Below are 21,164 nucleotides of genomic sequence, written 5' to 3' on the forward strand. Positions count from 1 at the left end.
TACAAAGAGTTTAATGAAGCATGCTGTCTCTGCAGGAAGCCCACGAGGCAGAAATGCAAGGACTGAGGCTTTGAAGGATGCAAGACAATGGGAACATCGCCGGGGATATGGAAGCAGTCAGAGGTACCTTAGTGGGCTTTAATGTACTCTTACTGGTGCAATACAGAGAAAGTGGATGGAAAGAAGGTCAGGGTATAGAAGACCCAAGGGGCATGATTATTAAGGCAGATATGAGTGTCACGTATTAAACTCTGTGACCTGTCAATACAGTGTCTGTTCCCTGACCATCCAACAGTGCAGTTCTTGGAACTCTTGTCCATCTATATCTGCCTGTCTGGTCATCTCATCCAGTTTCACGGCTCCAAACAGTCCATGTGCTCACACCTCTGGCTGAAATTCTCCCCTGAACGTTTGCTTCTTATATTCATCTGCCCACTCCAAAATTCCACGTGGATGTATGACAGGCATCATAAGCTAAACATGTCACAAACTGAACTCCTGACACCCCATGTCTGCCAACCAGCTGCTCCTCTTAAAGTCATCACCATATGGTAAGTGGGGATTCCACTCTATTGAATAGCTTGGGTCACACCTCACATCCCATCCATAGTCAATTCAGCTCAACCCGCAAAGACTCCGGAATCTAACCATTTCTCATCACCTCCTCTGCTGCTCCCTAATCCAAACTGCCACCACTGCTGAATTCTCTGGCCTCTCCACCTCTGTCCCAGGCCCCTCACGTTCCATTCTCTTGCAGAGTGATCCCACGTCACTCTACTGCTCAAACCTGTAAGTGCCTTCCCCTGTGTGAATAAAATCCAAAGTTTTACAATGACTCGCAGCTGTCTTTGTTACCTCTCCTACAGCATGGCTCTTGCTGCTCTCCCTCTCACCTCCTCTGTTCTGGGATCATGCCAGGAATGATGTCTCCTGCCTCAGGGCCTTGGCACATGCTCCAGTTGCCCACATGGCACACTCCTTCACTGCCTTCAGATCTTTCCTCAAATATGGGAACTGTTCTTTAATGAAGACAATATTAGGACATGCCGACTTTTAAGAGCCGTAGACAATGAAGGTTCAAAGCAAAGACTGACTTAGGAGACATCATAACAATGATAACTGTTTGCATTAGTGCCCCATACTACAAGTATATTTACGTTATGAAAACAACACTGTGAATGGATATTATCATCCATATTTTTCAATGGGGTGCGAAAGCTCAAATAAGCTGCCTCTTCCAAGGTCACACAGCCAGTAACTTCTAGAACCAGGAAGTGCAGGCTTCACTTCAGTTTTGTGACCCCAGAACAAGTATTCTTGCTTTTCTATATTGAAATTTATTATATAATGATAATAATAATAGTAATAATGGAAACGATAATAAAAATAATAATAGCAGTGATAGCAGCTAGTGCTTCTTGCAAACTCCATACAAAGCACCGTTTTAAGCCTCTTACATGCATTCATTAATTTTATCCTTGCAGACTCTTAGGAGGAAAGCACTATTATTTTCTGCAGTTTGCAGAGGAGGAGACAGAGTCAGTACCAGGGTAGATAACCTGTCCAAGGTCAACCAATGGTAAAGGCAGAACCAGGATTTACAGCCAGATGCTGGGTTCTTAACCACCACCCGAAATCCCTGCTTTGTCTTCTAACATTTTCTCTCTGCTTTTGCTAGACATGCTAGATAGTGTACAGTTGGACAGGAGTGAATTCTCCAGTTGGGTAATTAGAGATCAACTGTACCCACCAAAGATGTCTTGAAAGCATATGTAGTTGAAGAAATACCATCTTTAAATGGAGGTTAAGTGTGAAAAATTGCAACATAATCAATAACTGTCAGAGGTTGTAAGCCAGTTCAGGAGAGGCTTGTGGCCCCTGAAATATACCATTGATCACCTTTTCTAAGGTAGATGTTTTGTCTCTAATGGAGATATACGGTACTGCAGATTAACTTTTCACTCCAGCAGCCCTTGCATTTCTCCAGAGAAGAGCCTGGCAGGGAGAGGAGCAAGAGCTTGCCTTACCTGGGGTGATTGTAGGCAATCTGCTTGAACTCATTGTTCCAGTTGGGCCTCCCATAGAAGGTCTTCTGCTTTAAGCCTGTAATCACGTCAGTATTTTCGTCCCAGTGTAAAGCTATGTGAAGAGCCTAAAGTAAATTTGTGGCATTAGATGACATTTAGAAAAAAAAAATAAGACTTCTATAAATAAAGAATAAAGTAATCATGTTCATTTGTAGATTTAATTAAAAATGTGTACAGGGCTGGCAATGCTTATCACTATTTGCAGATGTCTCCAATGCTGCACTTTAGGGCAAGCATCATATCTCATTTATGTCTGAATCAGGCCTTGTTGGAACCAAGTGCCTCTTTATACCTAGTAGATGTGCAATAACATTAACCTAGAAAGAATATTTTCCTTTAAAAGGATGAAAGTAATATAGTAAATGTGGTTAAGAGAAAGCAAGCACTAAACGACTTCCTTCTTTTCCTGCCAAACTTTTCAACAATTAATGTCTACCTGCTATCCCCTTTCACTTAACATTGGCTCCTGGGGAGTTGAGAAGGGCATTGCCAGATTAAAGTGGTATGAAATGTCTGGGAAGAAACTGCATCTTACAATGAGACCTGCCTAGTGGGTTTAAACGGTGTGATGTATACTGTCCAGTTTCAAGTGCTGGGAGGATGTGGAGCCTGGCAGGCGGAAAATGGTGGCCAGAGCCTGGCAGGCGGCTTGGCTGGAGATCTGTGCCTAATCATTTGCCTTGGAATTAAGCAACTCCATCCAGGCGTCATGTAGCTAGTGGTCAATAAATGACAGCCCACAGCATAATCCCTTGTGATCATTTTTGTTTGTTTGTTTTTGTTTGTTTGTATGTTTTTGTGTTTTTTGAGACAGAGCCTTGCTGTGTCACCCAGGCTGGAGTGCAGTGGCGTGATCTCGGTTCACTGCAATCTCCACCTCCTGAGTTCAAGCGATTCTCCTGCCTCAGCCTCTCGAGTAGCTGGGACTACAGGTGTGTACCACCATGCTTGGCTAATTTTTTTTGTGTGTGTATTTTTATTGGAGACAGGGTTTCACTGTGTTAGCCGGGATGGTCTCGATCTCCTGACCTCATGATCCACCCGCCTTGGCCTCCCAAATTGTTGGGATTACAGGCATGAGCCACTGCACCTGGCCATGATCATGTTTTAAGTTGCTGTCATTTATTTTAGCCCCTTCTGCATTCTGGTAGCTACCTTGCTTCTCACTTCTGGGGATCTGTGTTCCCAGTGCTCATCCCTTAGACCCCTATGTGGTGCTCTATTCATTCTCACCCTCTGACTCATCCTGACCCTGACCAGTTTGGCTAACAACCTTGCTGGGTGCAACTCATGCCCCAGGTTCCCACTGTAAGCCTGACTTTCCTGGCTGACCTTCTCTCCAGTCTAAAAAAGTAGTTGAATCTAGGGAGGTTCAGCTGAAAATAGTGGAAGTGTCCCAACAGGTCAGGAGACAATGGTAGGTTAGATCTCAGAAATCCAGGCCAATTATATAAAAAAGACTCATATGTTCATCACAGCAGTACTCACAATAGCAAAATCATGGAACTAACCTGAGTGTCCATCAACAGTTGACTGGACAAAGAAAACGTGTTATATACATACTGTGGAATACTATGCAGCCATAAAAAGAATGAAATCATGTTCTTTGCAGCAACATGGGTGGAGCTGGAGGCCATTATCCTAAGTGAACTAACTCAGAAACAAAAAACGAAATACTCTATATTCTCACTTACAAGCAGCAGCTCAACAATGGGCACACATGGACATAAAGATGGGAATAACAGGCACTGGGGGCTCCAAAAGGGGGGGAGGGTGAGAAGGGAGTGAGGGTTGACAAAGAACCTACTGGGTATGATATCCACTGTTTGGGTAATGGGTAACCCCACCAGTATGCGCTATACCCATGTAACAAATGGGCACACGCACCCTCTGAATCTAAAAAATAAAGAAAATATAAAAAGAAATCCAGGTCGTAGGAAGTTGTGAGCAGGCAAGTCTGACACCAGGTGGCAGAGCTACTGCTGGAAAAGAGTTGGGGTATAGGACTCCGAGCAAAAAGAAGGTGGGGAACAGTGGCAGAGGGTGTTAAGTGACACGCCAGGTGTGGGGAGAGAACGAGCAAAGCCATGGACGTGTGACTGTGCACAGTGTGATGGGTGAACACGCATCCTTTGGTGGCTCTGGTGCCAGAGGAAACCGATGGGGGTGGGACACAGCTAGTGAGTGGGAGTCAGGCTGGGAAGGGTCTTAAGGTCCTTGCTGAGAAGTTCGGGCACCATTTCACACACAAAAAGGGCCTTCCCTACTTACACTTGTGGTACCGCCAATCACTGATGTTCAAACATTTGGAATGATATTTGTCCCATATTTCTCAGCCCAATGTTCAATTAGTCTCCAAACTCTGTTGATTTACCCTTCACAATACCTCTTCCATCTGTCCCTTCTGTTCTTGTCATTTTGCCACTTTGAGGTTGTTGAATTCAGTTTAACAATTGGGTATTTCTAAAACAGCCTCTTGATTCTTTCCCGACAGAATGCACCAATTATTTTTCCTTTAAATGTGGAAATTAGTGATTTTTCTGCCTGAAATTTAGGAGTCGAAATAATTTTCAACATGTCATGGCAAAAATGTAAGACATCTATTTTAATCTACTTGTGTTTAGAAAAAAAATATATGTTTTATAGCATATTCTTGGAAGTAGTAGAGACGGGAGGGGGCAGGATTGTGTTGTCGCCAAATCAACTTCAGTTCTCAGTTATGAGAACCTCAGTCCCACAGCTCCCAGTTGGCAAGGAATACCTAGGTGCACACTGGGATCAATGCACCTTAGAGTAGAAGAGCAGGCACAGTACTTGAGAGCAGAAGACAGAAGCTGTCTCTACTTCACCAAACTGTTCATCAGTCAAAAATCCCACTTGAATAAGGAAAGTGTTTGTTTGGAAAACATAATTAACACTATATAATTCATTAAGATGTTTCAAGCCTAGTTCCCAAGAAAGCTACATTTCAAATTATCCCAAAGGATTAAATATTTAAGAAGGACTGCAAATAAGACCATAAAAATTCATTAAGCTACTGAATTTCTAGCAGAGTCTTATTCATTTGCAGAAGCAGAGTCAAATTACAGTGATGTTCTATAAGGCCAGTGTGTGTGTGTGTGTGTGTGTGCGCACGCATGTGTGTGTATGTGTGATGTACATACACAGAGCATTCATTTGTAAATGTAGTGATTAATGTCAATCTCCCAGGCTCAAATACACTTTCCTTAAAAGTATATATCAATAATAGCTGCTGATTAGAATATATATTGTGTAACCTAGTAATCACTTCGTTGTTAATTCCCCTGTTTGAGGAGTTAAAATGGATTACAATGTAGTAGTTATCATTCAATAGTATCAACATTGAAATACTACCATAGTCAATATTTTGGTATACATTATTTTTGGTAAATTCAATCTTAATATTTCATTAATACAATATACTGCAGAACACCTGCCAAAACAAAAGATCATCTTCATCTTAGGTAAATAAACATACGTGCACACAATTTCTAAGAACACCTTAAGAGAACAAACTCTGGACAAATCATGTATTCATAATAATTATTTTCTATAGATGCTCACATACTTCACAATACAAAATGTTGAATGTAAACACCTAGGAATCTTTTTTGCTTAGCTCTGAACAGCTCAAGGCACAGAAACAGAACCAGTCAGGAACTCAACAAGATGATACAGCCAATCAGTAATATTCATTTGATGTCACTTTTAAAGGGACAAATGCAAATTTGTTTGGGATTTCCAGCCTCTGGATTGTCTTCCATTGTCTGACCCTTTCTATTCCTCAGCAAGTTAACTGTAGCTTCTTTTTTTGGTTCTTTGATTGTTACAACTTGAATCACTCTTGCTAATCTGGTTTTATTTTATTCTCCTTTCCCTTTTAAGAACATAAAAATAATTCTGTCATGCTATCAGAGTGCTACATAGCTCATTATTGAAATTGTTCCTCATTGCTATTAGATGAGTTCAGCAATATTGCTTATTCTCAGAGTCTTATCAGTACCTGATTTTCATCCCAGCCGGTAAGAAATATATGATAACTCAGAAAGTGAGTTTTCCCCTGCTCACTCATCCGTGTTTCCAGGGAGAGTAAGAGATCAGCAAACCACTCAAAAGCTCTTGCATCCCGGCAAATCCAGTAGAAATACACCTGTCAAGAGAGAAGGCAAGTGAACGGATCTATTCTCTTTTCATATGTGCTGATAATCACAGACTACTTTATCTCCATTAAATTATTTGAGCCCAAATGGGCACTTCTGCAAAATAACATGCTTTTTTTTGTGTGTGTCAGTGAACAAACAGTCACACTGTGATTTCTTTTGAAAAAATTCACAATGTGTTTGAAAAAGCCCAGAGTGAATTCAGAGAGTCAGGAGCCTGTGGGCCGTGCCAGTTTCTCTGGATGAGGATCAACTCACCACATTTCTGGCTGTGCTGCTTCTGAACAAGATTAATAATCATAACTAGCTGTGCCTTTCACTGCTCCCAAAGGGGGATAAACCGTTAGACCAACCCCTTCATCTTTACTTATGACCTAAGCTCTGGATTTGAACTTTCTTCTCCAGAGACCCCAAAGGCTTGGACACTAATCCACTTCACTAGCTACGGCCTCTGGAGAGTGGAGATTATGGTAATTTCAGAATCAAGTCACACAGGCCAGAAATTTCCTCTCAGTGAAACATATCGGTGTCCAAGAAAGCTGGTGGGTGGCGGCTGTGCCTGTGTGTCAACTGCTATAATGAAATTATGACTGGGAAGAATTATTTTTTTAACTCTCGGTATTAAGCAAATGGCATGTGACAAAAAGTAGCTTGGGTTTGCTAAAATAAAAGCTTAGTTTTTGTGCTGCGAGTTTCAAATAATTGCATCTAGAAGAAACCACAGGAGATAAATCTATTAATTCTCCCATTTTTCTCACACTCCCACCCCTTGCTGCCCACACCTCTCTCTCTCGTGCCTTCTCCCCAAAGAGACATCTGTATGGCTTAACAATATCCATGAGGGCTGGTCTTGATTCCAGCTGCTGCCTGGTAAATCCCCACCTGGAAATACCTCATCCAGTGATCAATGTTCTCTTCTCTCCCTCTCTGCCGGCCAGCTTGTAAGCTCACGATCATATAATCAGAGATATAAATGAGATTTAATGAATAGATCAAATTCATGAGACAAAAATAAAAAAGTTTATCTCAAAGCTAAACATCTTGTCTATTCTCTTCATGTTTAGGCAGGACTTTATAATATTAATTATTTGTAAGAGTAAAAGATGCTGAGAATAAGGCCTCTTCTTTCAAAAACTGGGCCCACATATTTGTTGGACAGCTCCTGTTCACAAGGGGACTTAAGATACTAATTTCAGGACAAATAATCCCTCAGTCTCTAAGCACAATGACCTGCTTTTCTCAGGAAGAGAGAGGGTTGCCTTTCCTTTCCTGACACTTATTTCTTCCTAGGGATGATCTCTGCACAGCCTCTCCAGGCAGAGCTAAGCCGGGGTTCCCTTTGTGACACCCTCTGAATCCCCATGAGCAAGGGGCTCACGTTCATCCATCCGTTCACTGATTCAACAAATATGTATTGAGTGCTTCCTACCTGTCCAGACTCTTCTGTGCTCTGGAACTATACAAGTGAACAAGACAGGGCCAAAAAAAATTGCTGTCCTCTTAAAATTTGCATCTTAGAGGGAGAAGGAAGATGATAGATAAGTAGAATATAGGTTATGTCAGATGGTGAGAAGTGCATGCAGAAACCCCAGGCGGGTTAGAAGTGTTGCAATATTAAGTTGAATGGTCAAACGGGGGCTCAATGAGCCCTCTCTTGTTTTTGGCCTCTTGTGTTCACTTTTATAATTCCAGGGAGTAGAACAGTCTGGAGACATAGGAGGCATTCAACACATATTTGTTGAATCAGTAATGGATGGACATGAACCATCAATTCGTGGAGATTCATGTCCCCTCTTCATGAGAAGGGGACATTGGAGCAAAGACCTGGAAAAGTTGAGGGAGTCAAATGCTTAGGTGGGAAGTGCAGATGCAGATGGTGGGAAGTGCGGAGGTCCTGAGTGAGACCTTTCCAGGAAGAGCCTGGAGGCCTGTGTGGCTGGAGCCCAGAGAGGGTGGGGAGAGCAAGGAGATGGGCGAGGGGAGGGCTGGGGGAGCCATGGCGTTGTAGGGCTTTGGGGCCGTTGTAGACTTTCCCTCCGAGAGACAGGAAAGCACAGGGAGTTGGCGAGCAGGGAGTTCCATGGCCCGCAGCAGGTGGCAGGATCTCTCTGGCTGCTGTATTGAGAATAGACCCAGGGTATGGAGGGTGGGGGAGGAGGAAAGGAGACCAGTTAGGGGTGGATTTTATATTCGAGGTTGGTGATGAATACCACTATCTGCTTTCTTTTCGCTTTGTATTGTGCCTAATCTAAATTACTCTTTGAAAACCTTAGCTTTCATTTTGCCTTGCTTTGCTCTGGGTGGAAATGAAAAATCTACTGGCTGAATTAATGCAGTGCTCACCTATGCATGACCCCCTCCTCCCTGGCCTTGGTAGCCTGTTTCATCTCAGAGTTGGCATTGGGCATAGAGCAAATATCATTGATTTATTTTCTCTCTTTCCCATTCTTTAAGGAACATGCTTAAAACACATTCATAGATGGATAATAAACCAGAACATTTGCTTTATAAAAAAATCCTCCAATTTCAAATCTAGTCCCAGTCGTCCTTTCTTGAAAACTATCCCCATCTTAGCTTCCTCCGTACATGAAACTTTATCTTTTCAAATAGAAATCCTTCCTTACTTTCTCGTGGCCTAGCTGCATGTCAGCGTCCTTAGGGTTTGTCAAGCCTTTTATACTTTTTGCTTCCTCGTAATGGCTTTGTGTGTTTTTCCCTCCGTAATTGACTTGTAAGTGACACTGGGCAGCTTTGGTGTAAGAGGCTATGGAGGAAAAATGGATAGGCTCAGTAGAAGTGTTTCAGGCAGAAAAAGAAAGAAAGGGACTTTGAACAGAAGCAAAAGGTATTTACTTTGACTTTCTTTCATCTTTCTAATGGTGGGGGACACTCACTGGGAAGGGACATAAGAGTTCCAAGTCTGCATTTCGCCCATGAGAAAGGACCTGGTCAATGAGAGACCAAGTATCCCAAACAATAGGCTACAACTCTGTGATCTGTGCTTTCCAATGCTCACCCCACCTTAGTCTCCAAAAATAAAACAACCCTGAAATCAGCTACCTGTAGAAAGCATGCCTTTTCAGAATTTCATAGCTGATCTCAGAGACCAAAAATACCTGAGTTTACTTTAAAAGATTTTATTAAATAGAAAGTCATTCTCAGTAAAATAACAAAAGTTCTGAACTTTCATAGTAATAAAATTATTTTTTTTTACAGGACTCATCCAACACTTTTTTTTCTTTTCTTTTCTTTCTTTTTTTTTTTTTTTTTTTTTTGAGAGGGAGTCTCTCTCTGTTGCCCAGGCTGGAGTGCAATGGTGGGATCTTGGCTCACTGCAACCTCCACCTCCCGGGTTCAAGTGATTCTCCTGCCTCAGCTTCCCAAGTAGCTGGGATTACAGGCATGTGCCACCATGCACGACGAAGTTTTTATTTTTTAGTAGAGATGGGATTTCACCATGTTGGCCATGCTGGTCTCGAACTCCTGACCTCAAGTGATCCACCCACCTCGGCCTCCCAAAGCGCTGGGATTACCAGCATGAGCCATCGTGCCCAGCCACATTCTTGTAGATATAGTGGATGCCTAGATGTTTTGGGAGACCACTCTGGGACTGTCATGGCGTTGAGGGTTTCTGTGTGCATGTGGCCCGTCATAGACCTTAGTTTCACATCATTCCCAAGCGCTAATGATCAGCCCAAACTCAGCCATGTCCATTTGCAAGGGGCTTGGGTCTGAGCGACAGTCACAAGTTTGGGCTCTCTGTGTGTCCCTTCTCATTTTCATGTTTTCCCAAGCCAAGGCTTCTCTTTAAGAATTCTTCAGCAGCACATAGGGACCAGGTCAAAGAGGTCTGGGGCCAGTAGGAAATGGAACTGTGCTAAATTTTGATAAACAGTTTCAGAAAATGAATTGAGAAGCACTACCAATCTGTGTTACTATGAGAGCTCAGACTCTCTAATCAAAGTTGGATGCTTTCAGGCGATTACATCTCCAAAACTTGTGCCGTATCTTGAATAGATATCCATGAACACAGGCAGAGGGCACTTTCACAAATGCAATCTGTATGTCTTTATATCCAAAATAAATTTCCAGAGAATGAAACAGAAAAAAAATTATTTACCTATGTATTTATTTATGGCCCAGAACCCCTCTAAACAAGGAAAGTGTACACAAGAATACAGGTTTAGGATATAGTGTAGCATGGTACAACAGCTCAGCGTTGTGAGCCTATGAAGCCCATCTGCTGTGGTAGACTGCTGCTGGCTTCACCATGCAGGTAGAAGTTGCAAATAACTTGTGCAACTGGGCAAAAGTTATTTAACTCCAACCTAGATTACTGCGTATGTAAAATGGCAATAAACACAGAACAATAGCTCCTGAGGTTATTGTGAGGATGAAAGGATATGTTTTACTGAAGCATTTAATGCAACGTCTGGCAGACACAGTAAGTGCTCAGAAGATGTTAGCTGCTATTGTTACTATCCTTGTTTGTCATTTGGAGGAGCTTAGAGAATGAAGAATGAAGACAGTATATTATAGAGCAAAGAGGGACATGCGCCTTGCTTGGCATGTGTTCCCACTGGTCACTCCTGGTCACTGAGAAGGGAAGCCAAACTTGACCTCTAGCACCAGTGTCAGAAGCAGAATCTCAGCATTCATCATGAAGATGTGCTCCATGAAGGGGAAGCCCCTCACCAGGCTCGGTGTGTGCTAAACTCACCTAGAGGCGTTTTACAGGGAGCCAGGGGCCCACCTTGACCATCGCCTCCTCAAGGAGAAGGGCAGTGGCTTGCAGTGCCACCTGCCTCCTGCTGGGCAGCACGCCTCTGTACCCCACACTGTGCAAAAGAAAGAACAGAACAGACAGAAGCTTGAAACCAGCAGGATGACAGAAGCTCTGCATAGAGGGGAATCAGGATCATTTTCCAAAAGGAGAATTTCTCTCTGTGAAAAGATAAAGACTGGTGTTTAGAAAATATATTACCTCCTCAATAAATGATCACTCTTATTGTCCTGGTTTTTATTTTGTTTTTGTTAAGGGAATCCTGGATTAATACAATAGCAAATAAGAAGAAATAAAAGAAGAAATATTTCTTCTTAATGATAAGCCTACCTAATGTGTAAAAGTTCTAGTTTAAAGTGATACAGTTATAAAATTGTTTTTCTGGTGAACCATTATAAGGCCAAGACCAGGCTTTGTCAATAATTTTTCATCCTTAAGACATTTTCTGAATGTGATTATCCTCAATGTTAACTATTTCATGACTATATTGCTACTTCGCCCTGTGGCTGAGGACTGATCTCTTTTGGGCCTCCGTTTGGTCTAATTACAGTTAATAATCCTTGTTGGACAACTGAAACATCTGAAACATTCTTTTTTTTTTTTTTTTTTTTTTTTGAGACGGAGTCTCGCGCTATCCTCCAGGCTGGAGTGCAGTGGTGCAATCTCAGTTCACTGCAACCTCCACCTCCCAGGTTCAAGCAATTCTTATGCCTCAGCCTCCCGAGTAGCTGGGATTACAGGCACCTGACACCACGCCCGGCTAATTTTTGTATTTTTAGTAGAGATGGGGTTTTGCCATGTTGGTCAGGCTGGTCTCCAACTCCTGGCCTCAGGTGTTCCGCCCACCTCGACCTCCCAAAATGCTGGGATTGCAGGTGTGAGCCACCACACCTGGCCTGAAACATTATTTAATAGCAGAATGATTCCATAAATTGTGGCCTATCCACACTATGGAATACTCTAAAGACACCAAACAAAATGAAATAGATCATCAGGTATTGACACTGACGGTGCCCGAAGTTATGCTTTAATGAAAAACAAAACAAATTACACTTCCTCTGCCTTCTACACACACACACCCCTATTTATGCATGAATGTGTATAGGTATATGCATATAAATGCATGGAAAAGGAATGGAATGAGACATATTCAACTGTTTAATGGTGAGTTTCTTAGGGAGCAAAGTTGGGGAGGTGTTTAGTTTGGGGAGGGAGGTGAAGGGAGATTTTAAAATGTTTGTGTATTTCATTGGACTCTTTTGCAAGAAGACTGTAGTCACGCAATCTGTGGTTAATAAACCAAGATATTAAACATATTAATACTGGTCACTTCCGCACAGAGCAATGGTGAGGGCTGATGGGGTACTGAGGCCTTTTGAGGCCCTCCGAGGAAAGACAAGAAGCATACATTTCTTTAGGAGAAGCATGAATGGCCCCTCCTAAAGAGGCCAACTGATGGCAGGAATCTTGGTGATTAGTAGAGATGATCAGTTCCAGGAGTAGTCAGAGCTCCAGTGTGAGGGAAAGTGAAAGTAAATAATTTCTCAAAGTAAACAGATTAAATTAAATGCATTTTTCATTCACTAGAAAAGAGAGCAGGCCCTCCTTTGTTTTATTAATATATTTTAGTAGAGTATGGATTTTTTGTCTTTTTTGGCCTCTTTCCCTTGTTCCCACTGGCCCGTGCTGTCTTTTTATTTGAATTATCTGTTTATTATATTAGGTTAAGAACCCAAAGGCCATTTTGCATGGGACACACTATAAATACCCATTATCATGGTTATATATTATGGAGCTGATGAAGGAAGACAATTTATGAAGAAATGAGATTATCTCAGTTCTTGTATAATCTGTTGTATCGTAGTCTGAAGACTACATATGCAGTTAAGAAAACGAACCGCATCTTGCAGTTGGCAGTTGTCTCAGTCCTGACTGCACAGCTGTGATATTAGGGAGAACTAAAATGTGTAAGCCAATCTATTTATGTCAGCAATCCTCCCCCTCCCTCCCCATTCATACACACCTATTTCATTCATCATTTTGACAGTTTGCACAAGCAAACCGTCCTAATTTTTTTTCAAGAGCTCTTTTCACAAATTGAGTGTGATGTAGAATTAATCATACCCGTTAGGCAGGAGGTGGAGGACTTTATTGCTAGAGGGCATTTTTCACCCCCAGCATTCAGCTTCCTCCATATTGCATCACAGAGAATTCTCAACCACCCTCAGCCTTCCCTCATCCCACAGGGGCACAGCGTTCTCAGCTGCCTTCAACTCAGTGAAGTTTGGCTCTTACTTCTGCGTTGAAAATATTTCTTTCATGTATTACAACTTTTTTCCATTTTCATCACAGCAAGCCATCATTATACTTCTTGTTATTTGGCCTTCTTGGGAAATCCCCTCCTGCCCATTCTTCCCCCTCCCCTTCCACTCCCCGCCCCCTCCCAGATCTTTCAAAACAAAAGTACTTAGAAACAAAGATATTTTAAGACATCAGCTTCAAATGGAAAGTACTACTTATGACGCTTCCCACTGAGGAAGTGGCAGGCGCCTTATTGGTTGTGCTCCTGCATTTTACTTAGAAGTTTTCTAGAATAATGCAACAGAGGAGAAGGGTAAAGAAGTTCTAGTTTGCAACGGTGACAATTGAGAAAACTTTGGTGCACATTTTTTCCTATAGACTTGCAACTTGAGTTTTGTGTGTAAAAATGTATGCCTTATGCCAACCAGTGTTTTTACACATGGAGGAAAAAAAAATCCCACCTAATCGCAGTTAACCATTTAAGCTTAAAATTCTGGCTCTCAACGCCTATGCGAGTTGTCCTTTCCTTCCTTATTACAAAAGAGGACAATCTGAAAACTATAGTCCAGACTTAAAATTGTGAAGACACCGTTAGATAAATATGTACTGCTTTGCTCTGTGGCACTTCAAAAATTATATAGACTCTGACAGTTTAGTGGAAGGAGTAGTCTTTATATCTCAAAAGCATGTAGGTAGCCCTGACAAATATTAGTTACATAAGCCTAATAGTAGCTATACTCAAACCAACACAAAGTTGCTTTAAAAGAGAGAAACTTCCTAAACCTGTTCTCATGCCTGCAGACGCTTAAGGAATTGGATCTGAACTGTAATTTTCAGCCCAAACTTTCAATAGCATGAAAACCTCACTTCTTCCATGAAAGAACTTTGAAGCAGAAATCAGAAACACATGCTCAGGTCCTGACTCAGTGGTGAACAAGCTGGGTGACTTTGGACAAATCATCTCCGCTCGAGGTGCAGATACTGACTTTCATGGTCCTATGCAAAGCTAGGAGATTAGGACCTTTAAGTTATTTTATGATTCCACACTTTAGCTTCCTTTCTCCCATATGACATTATTTCTGCCCTTATTTTCACCTGAGTCGTGTCCAAATAGTCCCTCACATTTTTATAAGCGATGAAAACATTGCTTTTATATTTTTTACTCTACTGTTTCTGTTTCTTGGAATAGAGATCAATGTCCCTATTTTATGGTTTTGTGGTGACTGCAGTGCTGAAAGCCTTGAGAAACGCCACAAGCAGAGCCCAGGAATGACAATGGAATGCTGAGAAAGGAGGCAAAATTAAGATTTTGTAGGCTCCTGTATGAATTTTAAAATTTTTGGGGGTTCTTATAAGATTTTTCCTCTATATTCCTAGTAAAATAATTGGAATTTAGTAAAAATCATTGAAGAATTTTTTTGGTTACATAAACAAAACCTTAATACCCTTAAATTTTAAAGAAAATTGTGTACAGAAGCCATTGTTTATTCTTTTTGGACATGTAGACATTTATTCACTCATTGATTTATTCAATATTTTTACTATATATATAGTTATCACATGTTGTATGTGTATATATATATATGTATGAAGATATCCAGAGAAGCTATGTTCAAGGAACTCACAGTCTGTTAGAGAAAATAAGATTATTTCACGAATCTTAATACAGGAAAGATATGTGACATAACAGTAGGGCAGCAAAGGAGTGGTGGAGGTTAAGAGAAGGGGGAGGTGATTGTGAGTCGGGTGTAATGACAATGAGACTTTGCATGTCTCTGAGCAGGACTTGAAATATTAGTTGGATTAGTGAGTGAATGAAAATGAGACACGCTATCCACCACCATCTTCCTGTGAAGCATGAAGTGACTTTTAGTGTCGTGGAAACCATGAAGCAGTGAGCCACCTCTCTGAGTGGGATTTACTTGGTAGGCAGCAAGAGGGAAGGAAGAACTTAGGGTGGCTGAAAAATCATCACGAACCAAAACAAAGCATTGCTGTGAGGTCCAAATATCCCAGTCACTGTTTTGCTTGCTTTGTTAAATATATTATGGCGTAGAGGAAAGAAGATGAGCTTTGGTGCCAGAAGGATCTAGATTCAAACTCTAGTTCTAGTATTATTTAGCTCTCTGTGTGTCAGGGTCCTCATCAGTATTGAGAATATTACCTATCTGAATGAGCTATTATGAGCATTTAGTAAAATGACTGTCATTTCTATTAGCTTTGTGATCAGGCCTTAGTTTTCTCATCTGTAAAATGGGAATAAAAATGATAAGTATGACGAAAAGATGGCATGAGATAGTGCATGTAAAATGCCCAGTTTCCTTCCTGTTAGGTAGTCAGTGCTTGATAAATCTAGGCCATTAGTAATAGCAGTACTGGTAACCTATTTATACCTTTGGTAGATACAATCAGCATTTAGATAATCATCTATATTTCTGTATACACATTTCTATGGTAATATTTCCATATTATTTGTCTTATTTAGCATTAAAACTCCCTGTTGGATATGGATTCTTATTTCTCCGTTATGTGGATCAGGAAACTCAGCTCAGAGAGGTGAACTGCAGGCAGTATTTCAGTCAGGGTGGAATCAGGCATGTTCTTTGATGACAGCAAAATTCAGGTGCCGATTCTATGAGCAGGAATCCCACCGTCTTCCTAAAATATTGCTCCAGGGTTGCAGGAGGAGCTGGGGGTCACGTCTACCATGTGTTGGTTTTGTCATGGAAAGAGCCAGATGAACCTAAGTTTGAATCCTGATTCTGCCTTTGATTACCCATGTCTTTTCAGGAAAATCAATTTAATCTCTCCAAGCTTCAGGTTCCTTACCTGGAAAACAGGCCTTGTGTTACTTACTTTATAAGGTTGTTGGGGAGATTAAAAAATTCAAATGAGAAAATGTATGTCAAGGACCTGTCACTTGGAAACTCATGAAATAGTTAACTGCTGTTTCTTAGTTGGCAGAGACCCGAGTTTAGAGATCTTCTAGCCCTCATTGCCTGGGATGCTTCACAGAATACGAATTCTTGATAGGTGTTAGGTGAGGAAAGGTTCTGTAGCTAAATAAGCTTGGGAAAGATAGATGAAACAAAACTGAATGAGGATCTTTTCTGCGGAACTTTTTTTAGAGACAGAGTCTCGCTCTGTTGCCCAGGCTGGAGTGCAGTGGTGCGATCACGGCTCACTGCTTTGAACTCCCTAATATTTAATTTTCTTGCAGAGATGATGTCTCTCTATGCGGCCCGGGCTGGTCTAGCGTCAAACTCCTGGCCTCAAGTGATCCTCCCACTTCAATCTCCCAAAGTGCTGGGGTTACAGGCATGAGCTACTGCGCCCCACCCCCGCAGAACTTATTTAATGGCTAGTGGATGATGTCTTCTAGAGTGGGATGTTGCAGGAGCGTTGCTTAAGTTCCTTTGACTACGGAATTCTCTCTAGTGGATCATGTCAGGTGACAGATGTCCCATGGTTTACACATTGAGACCTGGTGGTTAAGTCAAGCGTCTCCCTTTGATAGATGAGGACACTGTGGACAAAGGGTTAAGCAGAGAAGATATGCAGGACGGCCCAGCACCAAGCTCGTCTGCCATCCTCACTCCTCCTGCATTCATACGGCTTTGGGTTATCAGGGCTCTTTGCCTACCATTGCTCTAGTGCCTGCTGCTGGTCCTAAGAGGGTCCAAGTATCGGATGGAGTGTCTAGATACGACAAAGGACGGAAAGAAATTCTAGAGGCATCTAGTTGTAAAACATACAGGAAATGACAAAAGGGAGATTCAGAGCGGGATGGCCACCCCACAGCAAGCCGGCCAATAAATCCCAATTGTGGCTTCTTGTTAGGACTGAGTCCACGAGAGGAGGACATCGAATTGTACACTTGCAACCACAGTCTGAAGCTAAAGAGACTAAGGAGAGGTTGCCTCTTAATATTGCGAACTGCCACCCAGTCACATAGCCATTTGCAGCCTGTCCATATTTTACTGAGATGAGCAATTACATGTCCTGTAATGGCAATGAAGCAATAAAATTTATGTCTTGTCATCTTTAACAAGATTAGACATAACCCTACTCATAAATGTAATACTGAGTGGAGATTTTTAAGAACATAAGTATAGTTAAGGATCCTTGAGTTTATCCCTCATAGTTAATTAAAATCCTCCCCAAGAATCGGCAGATGATAGATATAAGGACATTGAACCTTTTAATCCATGGAAGGGTGAACTAATGATTTTTCCGTACCTTGCTCAGCTTCAGTGGGGTCTGTGCCTCACTGCATTTGTACCATATAGATTTCAGAAGAGCAGCGAAGGGAGTGACTCCGATCCCCGCGGCAACGCACACACACACTGGGTAGTGAAATACATCTGTCAGGGCAGTTCCAAAGGGCCCGTCCACTGCCAGCCTGGAATCATAGAGGAATGCAGCCTATTTGACCTTCAGAACACCTTGCTCGTGAACCCAGAACCATCCGGAGCTGGTGCTTTTTACAGGACGTGTTTGCCAGTGCATGCAGAGGTTGACTCTGTGCCTGAAAATGCCCTATTTGGAGAGCCTGGGGTTAGCATGAGGATTTCCAGCTCTGCCTTATTGGGAGACAACGAGGTTGTCCTGGCCCAGGCACTGTTCATGGAAGGACAAAGCCTGACATCTCTCGCTATAGCTCAGGCCTCGTCCATGTGGCATGCTCTCCTTACAGCGCTTAGAAGCTTGTTTTGGCTCCAAGTATCATTGAGGCTGCTGGAAGAGCTATTTCCCTTTCCACCCCAGCTGCCATCAGAGGGAAAAATCTGGAAGCATCAAGGAAGCTTAGCAGGCTTCTATTTCCTCTTCCTAATGTCATTCTCCCCTGTTTACATTTGGTCACACATCTTAGTAGGTTTATGTAATTTTAGTCTAATGGAAGCTATTCATTTGGAATAAATATAATTTTGAAGTCATTTGTCAGTTATGTGGAACTTCTAAAACCCATTATTTTAGATTATACTGACTCAAAATCTGTGGTAATTAGGCCTTGGGTAGCACTGGTATTTTTCTTTGCTTAGCAAATTTTTCTTAATAAGGATAAAGTATATTCATTGAATAAATAAGAGGGTCCTTAGCATGGTCCTATGCAGACTGGTCCCTGAGTTCTTTTCCATCACTCATCACTGGTTCTCACACTGGTGAGATATTAATATTCTTAAAATATTAAATACACAGTACTCCCTACTGCCACACGGCCTTTGCATGCGATACCATTTTCCCTTGGAATAATCTTCTCCAGTTTCTGTTCTTTTCTTTTTCTTTTTCTTTTTTTTTTTTTTTTGAGATGGAGTCTTGCTCTGTCACCAGGCTGGAGTGCAGTGATGCGATCTCCGCTCTCTGCAACCTTTGCCTCCTGGGTTCAAGCGACTCTTCTGACTCAGCCTCCCAAGTAGCTGGGACTGTAGGCACGTGCCACCACGCCCAGCTAATTTTTTTGTATTTTTCATAGAGACGAGGTTTGACCATTTTGGCCAGGATGGTCTTGATCTCTTGACCTCATGATCCGCTCACCTCGGCCTCCCAAAGTGCTGGGATTACAGGCGTGAGCCACTGCACCTGGCATCTTCTCCAGTTCCTTCCCTCTCTCCTTAGTTGGTTAATAGTTATTTCTCTGGTAGGTCTTATCCCAATCATTCCTTTCCTGTGGAAGCCTTCTTGAACCCCTCAGATTAGGTTAAATCCCCTCTTATATAATTTATAGCTCCATGTTTCCCTCCTCTATAGTCCTCATCACAGCTGTAATTTTACAATTTATTGGTGTGTATGCGTGATCTGATTGATTTCTGTGTAGAGCTGTGAGGTCTAGGAAAGTAGGAGTCAGGGCTGTCTTTGCTCACTGCTGTAATCCCAGCACTCCCTGACATGAAGTTGTTCAATAACAATTGGTTGAATAAATTGTAAAGGGAATGTTTAAAATATTTCAGTCAGCAGAATGTATTAAATAACCTCAACTATTCCAAAAGCACACATTTACATATGAACAAAGATATGCTAATTAAAAGGTTTCTGAGTTATTCATAACCATTCCCTAAGGGGTGTCTGTTGAAGACACCGGAGGTTGGCCCATTTGAGCTTTACTATGTGTTCATGAAAGTTCAATTGGGTTTATTTTAAATTATTCTATATGCCAGACTTCCTAATAATTCAAATGAACTCTCCTCAAGTTAATCTTAATTAATAAGGCTTTATTACATATTGATATATGGAAATGGAAGAATAAAAATAAAAGGTCATTAACCAGAAATGGTTAGTATCTTAGCCCACTGTAGATTATTCCATAAATAATTACATAAAGGAAATTGAGAGAAAGAGAGAAAGAAAACCTGTCCATAGATTCAAATGTCTTACTGTTCATTTTTAAAAAATAATCAGTCATATTGGGAATTTATTTGACACTGATTTAAAAAGATGTCAATTAAATCCCAAGAAGAATTTTGTAAATTAATCCACAGAAATATACAATAAACAAATTTCTACATCTTTAGAATTGAAACTCAAAGCTACAGGAGAAAATATTTGGTCTAAGTTCCCTGCTAATACAGTAATCCTCCTGCCACATTCCTGAGAGATGCTCATATACCTATGTTAAACTGCGGGGCACCTTGTTCCACTTAGGGGCAATTCTAAATATTAGACAATTTGTTCTCATGTCTTACTGAAATCTGTCTTCTGACAACTCTCATCTTTTGCCTTTCTGAGAAGCACATTCCAGATCTTTTTCCTTTTTGGCATCTCAGGCCTTTAAATAGTTGAACATAGCTATCATGACATCCCAGTTGTTCTTTTTTGGGCCCAAATTTCTCCATTTCTCCAGATTTTTAACAATCTGAATCAGCTTCATTTGCACAAATTCTTGTTTATCACGTTTATGCAGCTATCCCTGCCTTGATTTAGACACAGCGTTTCTAATAATGAGGCTCAGAAAATGATTTGTCTTGCCTGCATCCCTGTCCTGTGAGTCCTTGCTGGGTAGTTCAGCAGCACCCCACCCTACCCCATTAAGTTCCAGTCTCAGCTCTCTGAACTGACTGCATTTACTCCTCTAACAAACACTTCCATTGCTATTTCTGTGGTAGGTGACCATTCTTATGTTGTTAATAATAATAGTAGCTAACTCTTTGAGCACTTACCGTGTGCTAAGTATTATGTTAAGTGTTTTTATGGACTGTTATGTGTGATCCTAAACAAAGCCATGAGTACTATTATTGTCATCTTCATTGTACAGATGAGGAAACTGAGGCAGTGTGTTACATACATTCTCCAAGATCACACACAAAGTTGGGCTTTGAACCCAGCTCCTCTCACAGTGTGGGCCCCAGCTCTGGGCAAAGGATAGCTGGAAACTCCATCAACTGAGAAATTCCTCTGTTTTCCTTCAGAAGGTCTAGTCTTTTGAAAGAGCTCACATTCTCTCCCTTTTTCTTGGGTTTAGAGGAAGAGGTTTCCCTGTTCTTTTTTTGGGCTTGCTTCCCCTCCTGGGCATCTCACTCACAAATTCCAGGGGCTGGATTAAATTTGTCTGGGATCCAAAGCAGTAAAAAGATATAGTGCTCTCCCCAATATGATTTAATTCAAAATTAAAACAGTGGGGAACTGTAAAATCATCCAAGGAAGTCCAATAACATCCTGATTCTTTGTATGTTGAAGATTTAAACAAATTCTAGTTTTTTGGAAGGCTTTGCCACTAATACATATGCCTACACACATACAGAGGCAGAGGGCGAAACAAATTAGTGAATGGAGGGAAGCAGCTCTGTTTATGACAACTCATTTTTATCGAGCCCATAA

The 21,164-nt window shown here is 41.5% G+C and overlaps 1 protein-coding gene across 1 annotated transcript in view, besides 2 other annotated features; it reads right to left on the bottom strand.

Annotated features, from left to right (window-relative positions):
* Positions 1-21,164, bottom strand: part of NOX3 (NADPH oxidase 3) — a 60,472-nt gene that overhangs the window by 9,735 nt on the left and 29,573 nt on the right. The window contains exons 10-12 of the mRNA NM_015718.3: positions 17,592-17,754; positions 6,112-6,258; positions 2,028-2,152 (exon numbers count right to left, since the gene is read on the bottom strand). Of these exons, the coding sequence (NP_056533.1) occupies positions 2,028-2,152; positions 6,112-6,258; positions 17,592-17,754 (435 nt within the window). The remainder of the gene's footprint in view (positions 1-2,027; positions 2,153-6,111; positions 6,259-17,591; positions 17,755-21,164) is intronic.
* Positions 13,200-13,349: an enhancer, noted in NCBI's record as "active region_25308". NCBI's record gives its function as "activates an Ori minimal core promoter by ATAC-STARR-seq in GM12878 lymphoblastoid cells {active_cell/tissue: GM12878}" and the evidence as "EXISTENCE:reporter gene assay evidence [ECO:0000049][PMID:35858748]".
* Positions 13,450-13,509: an enhancer, noted in NCBI's record as "active region_25309". NCBI's record gives its function as "activates an Ori minimal core promoter by ATAC-STARR-seq in GM12878 lymphoblastoid cells {active_cell/tissue: GM12878}" and the evidence as "EXISTENCE:reporter gene assay evidence [ECO:0000049][PMID:35858748]".

Source organism: Homo sapiens, chromosome 6 (genome assembly GCF_000001405.40).
Source record: "Homo sapiens chromosome 6, GRCh38.p14 Primary Assembly".
In the NCBI taxonomy this organism is placed as follows: Eukaryota; Metazoa; Chordata; class Mammalia; order Primates; family Hominidae; genus Homo; species Homo sapiens.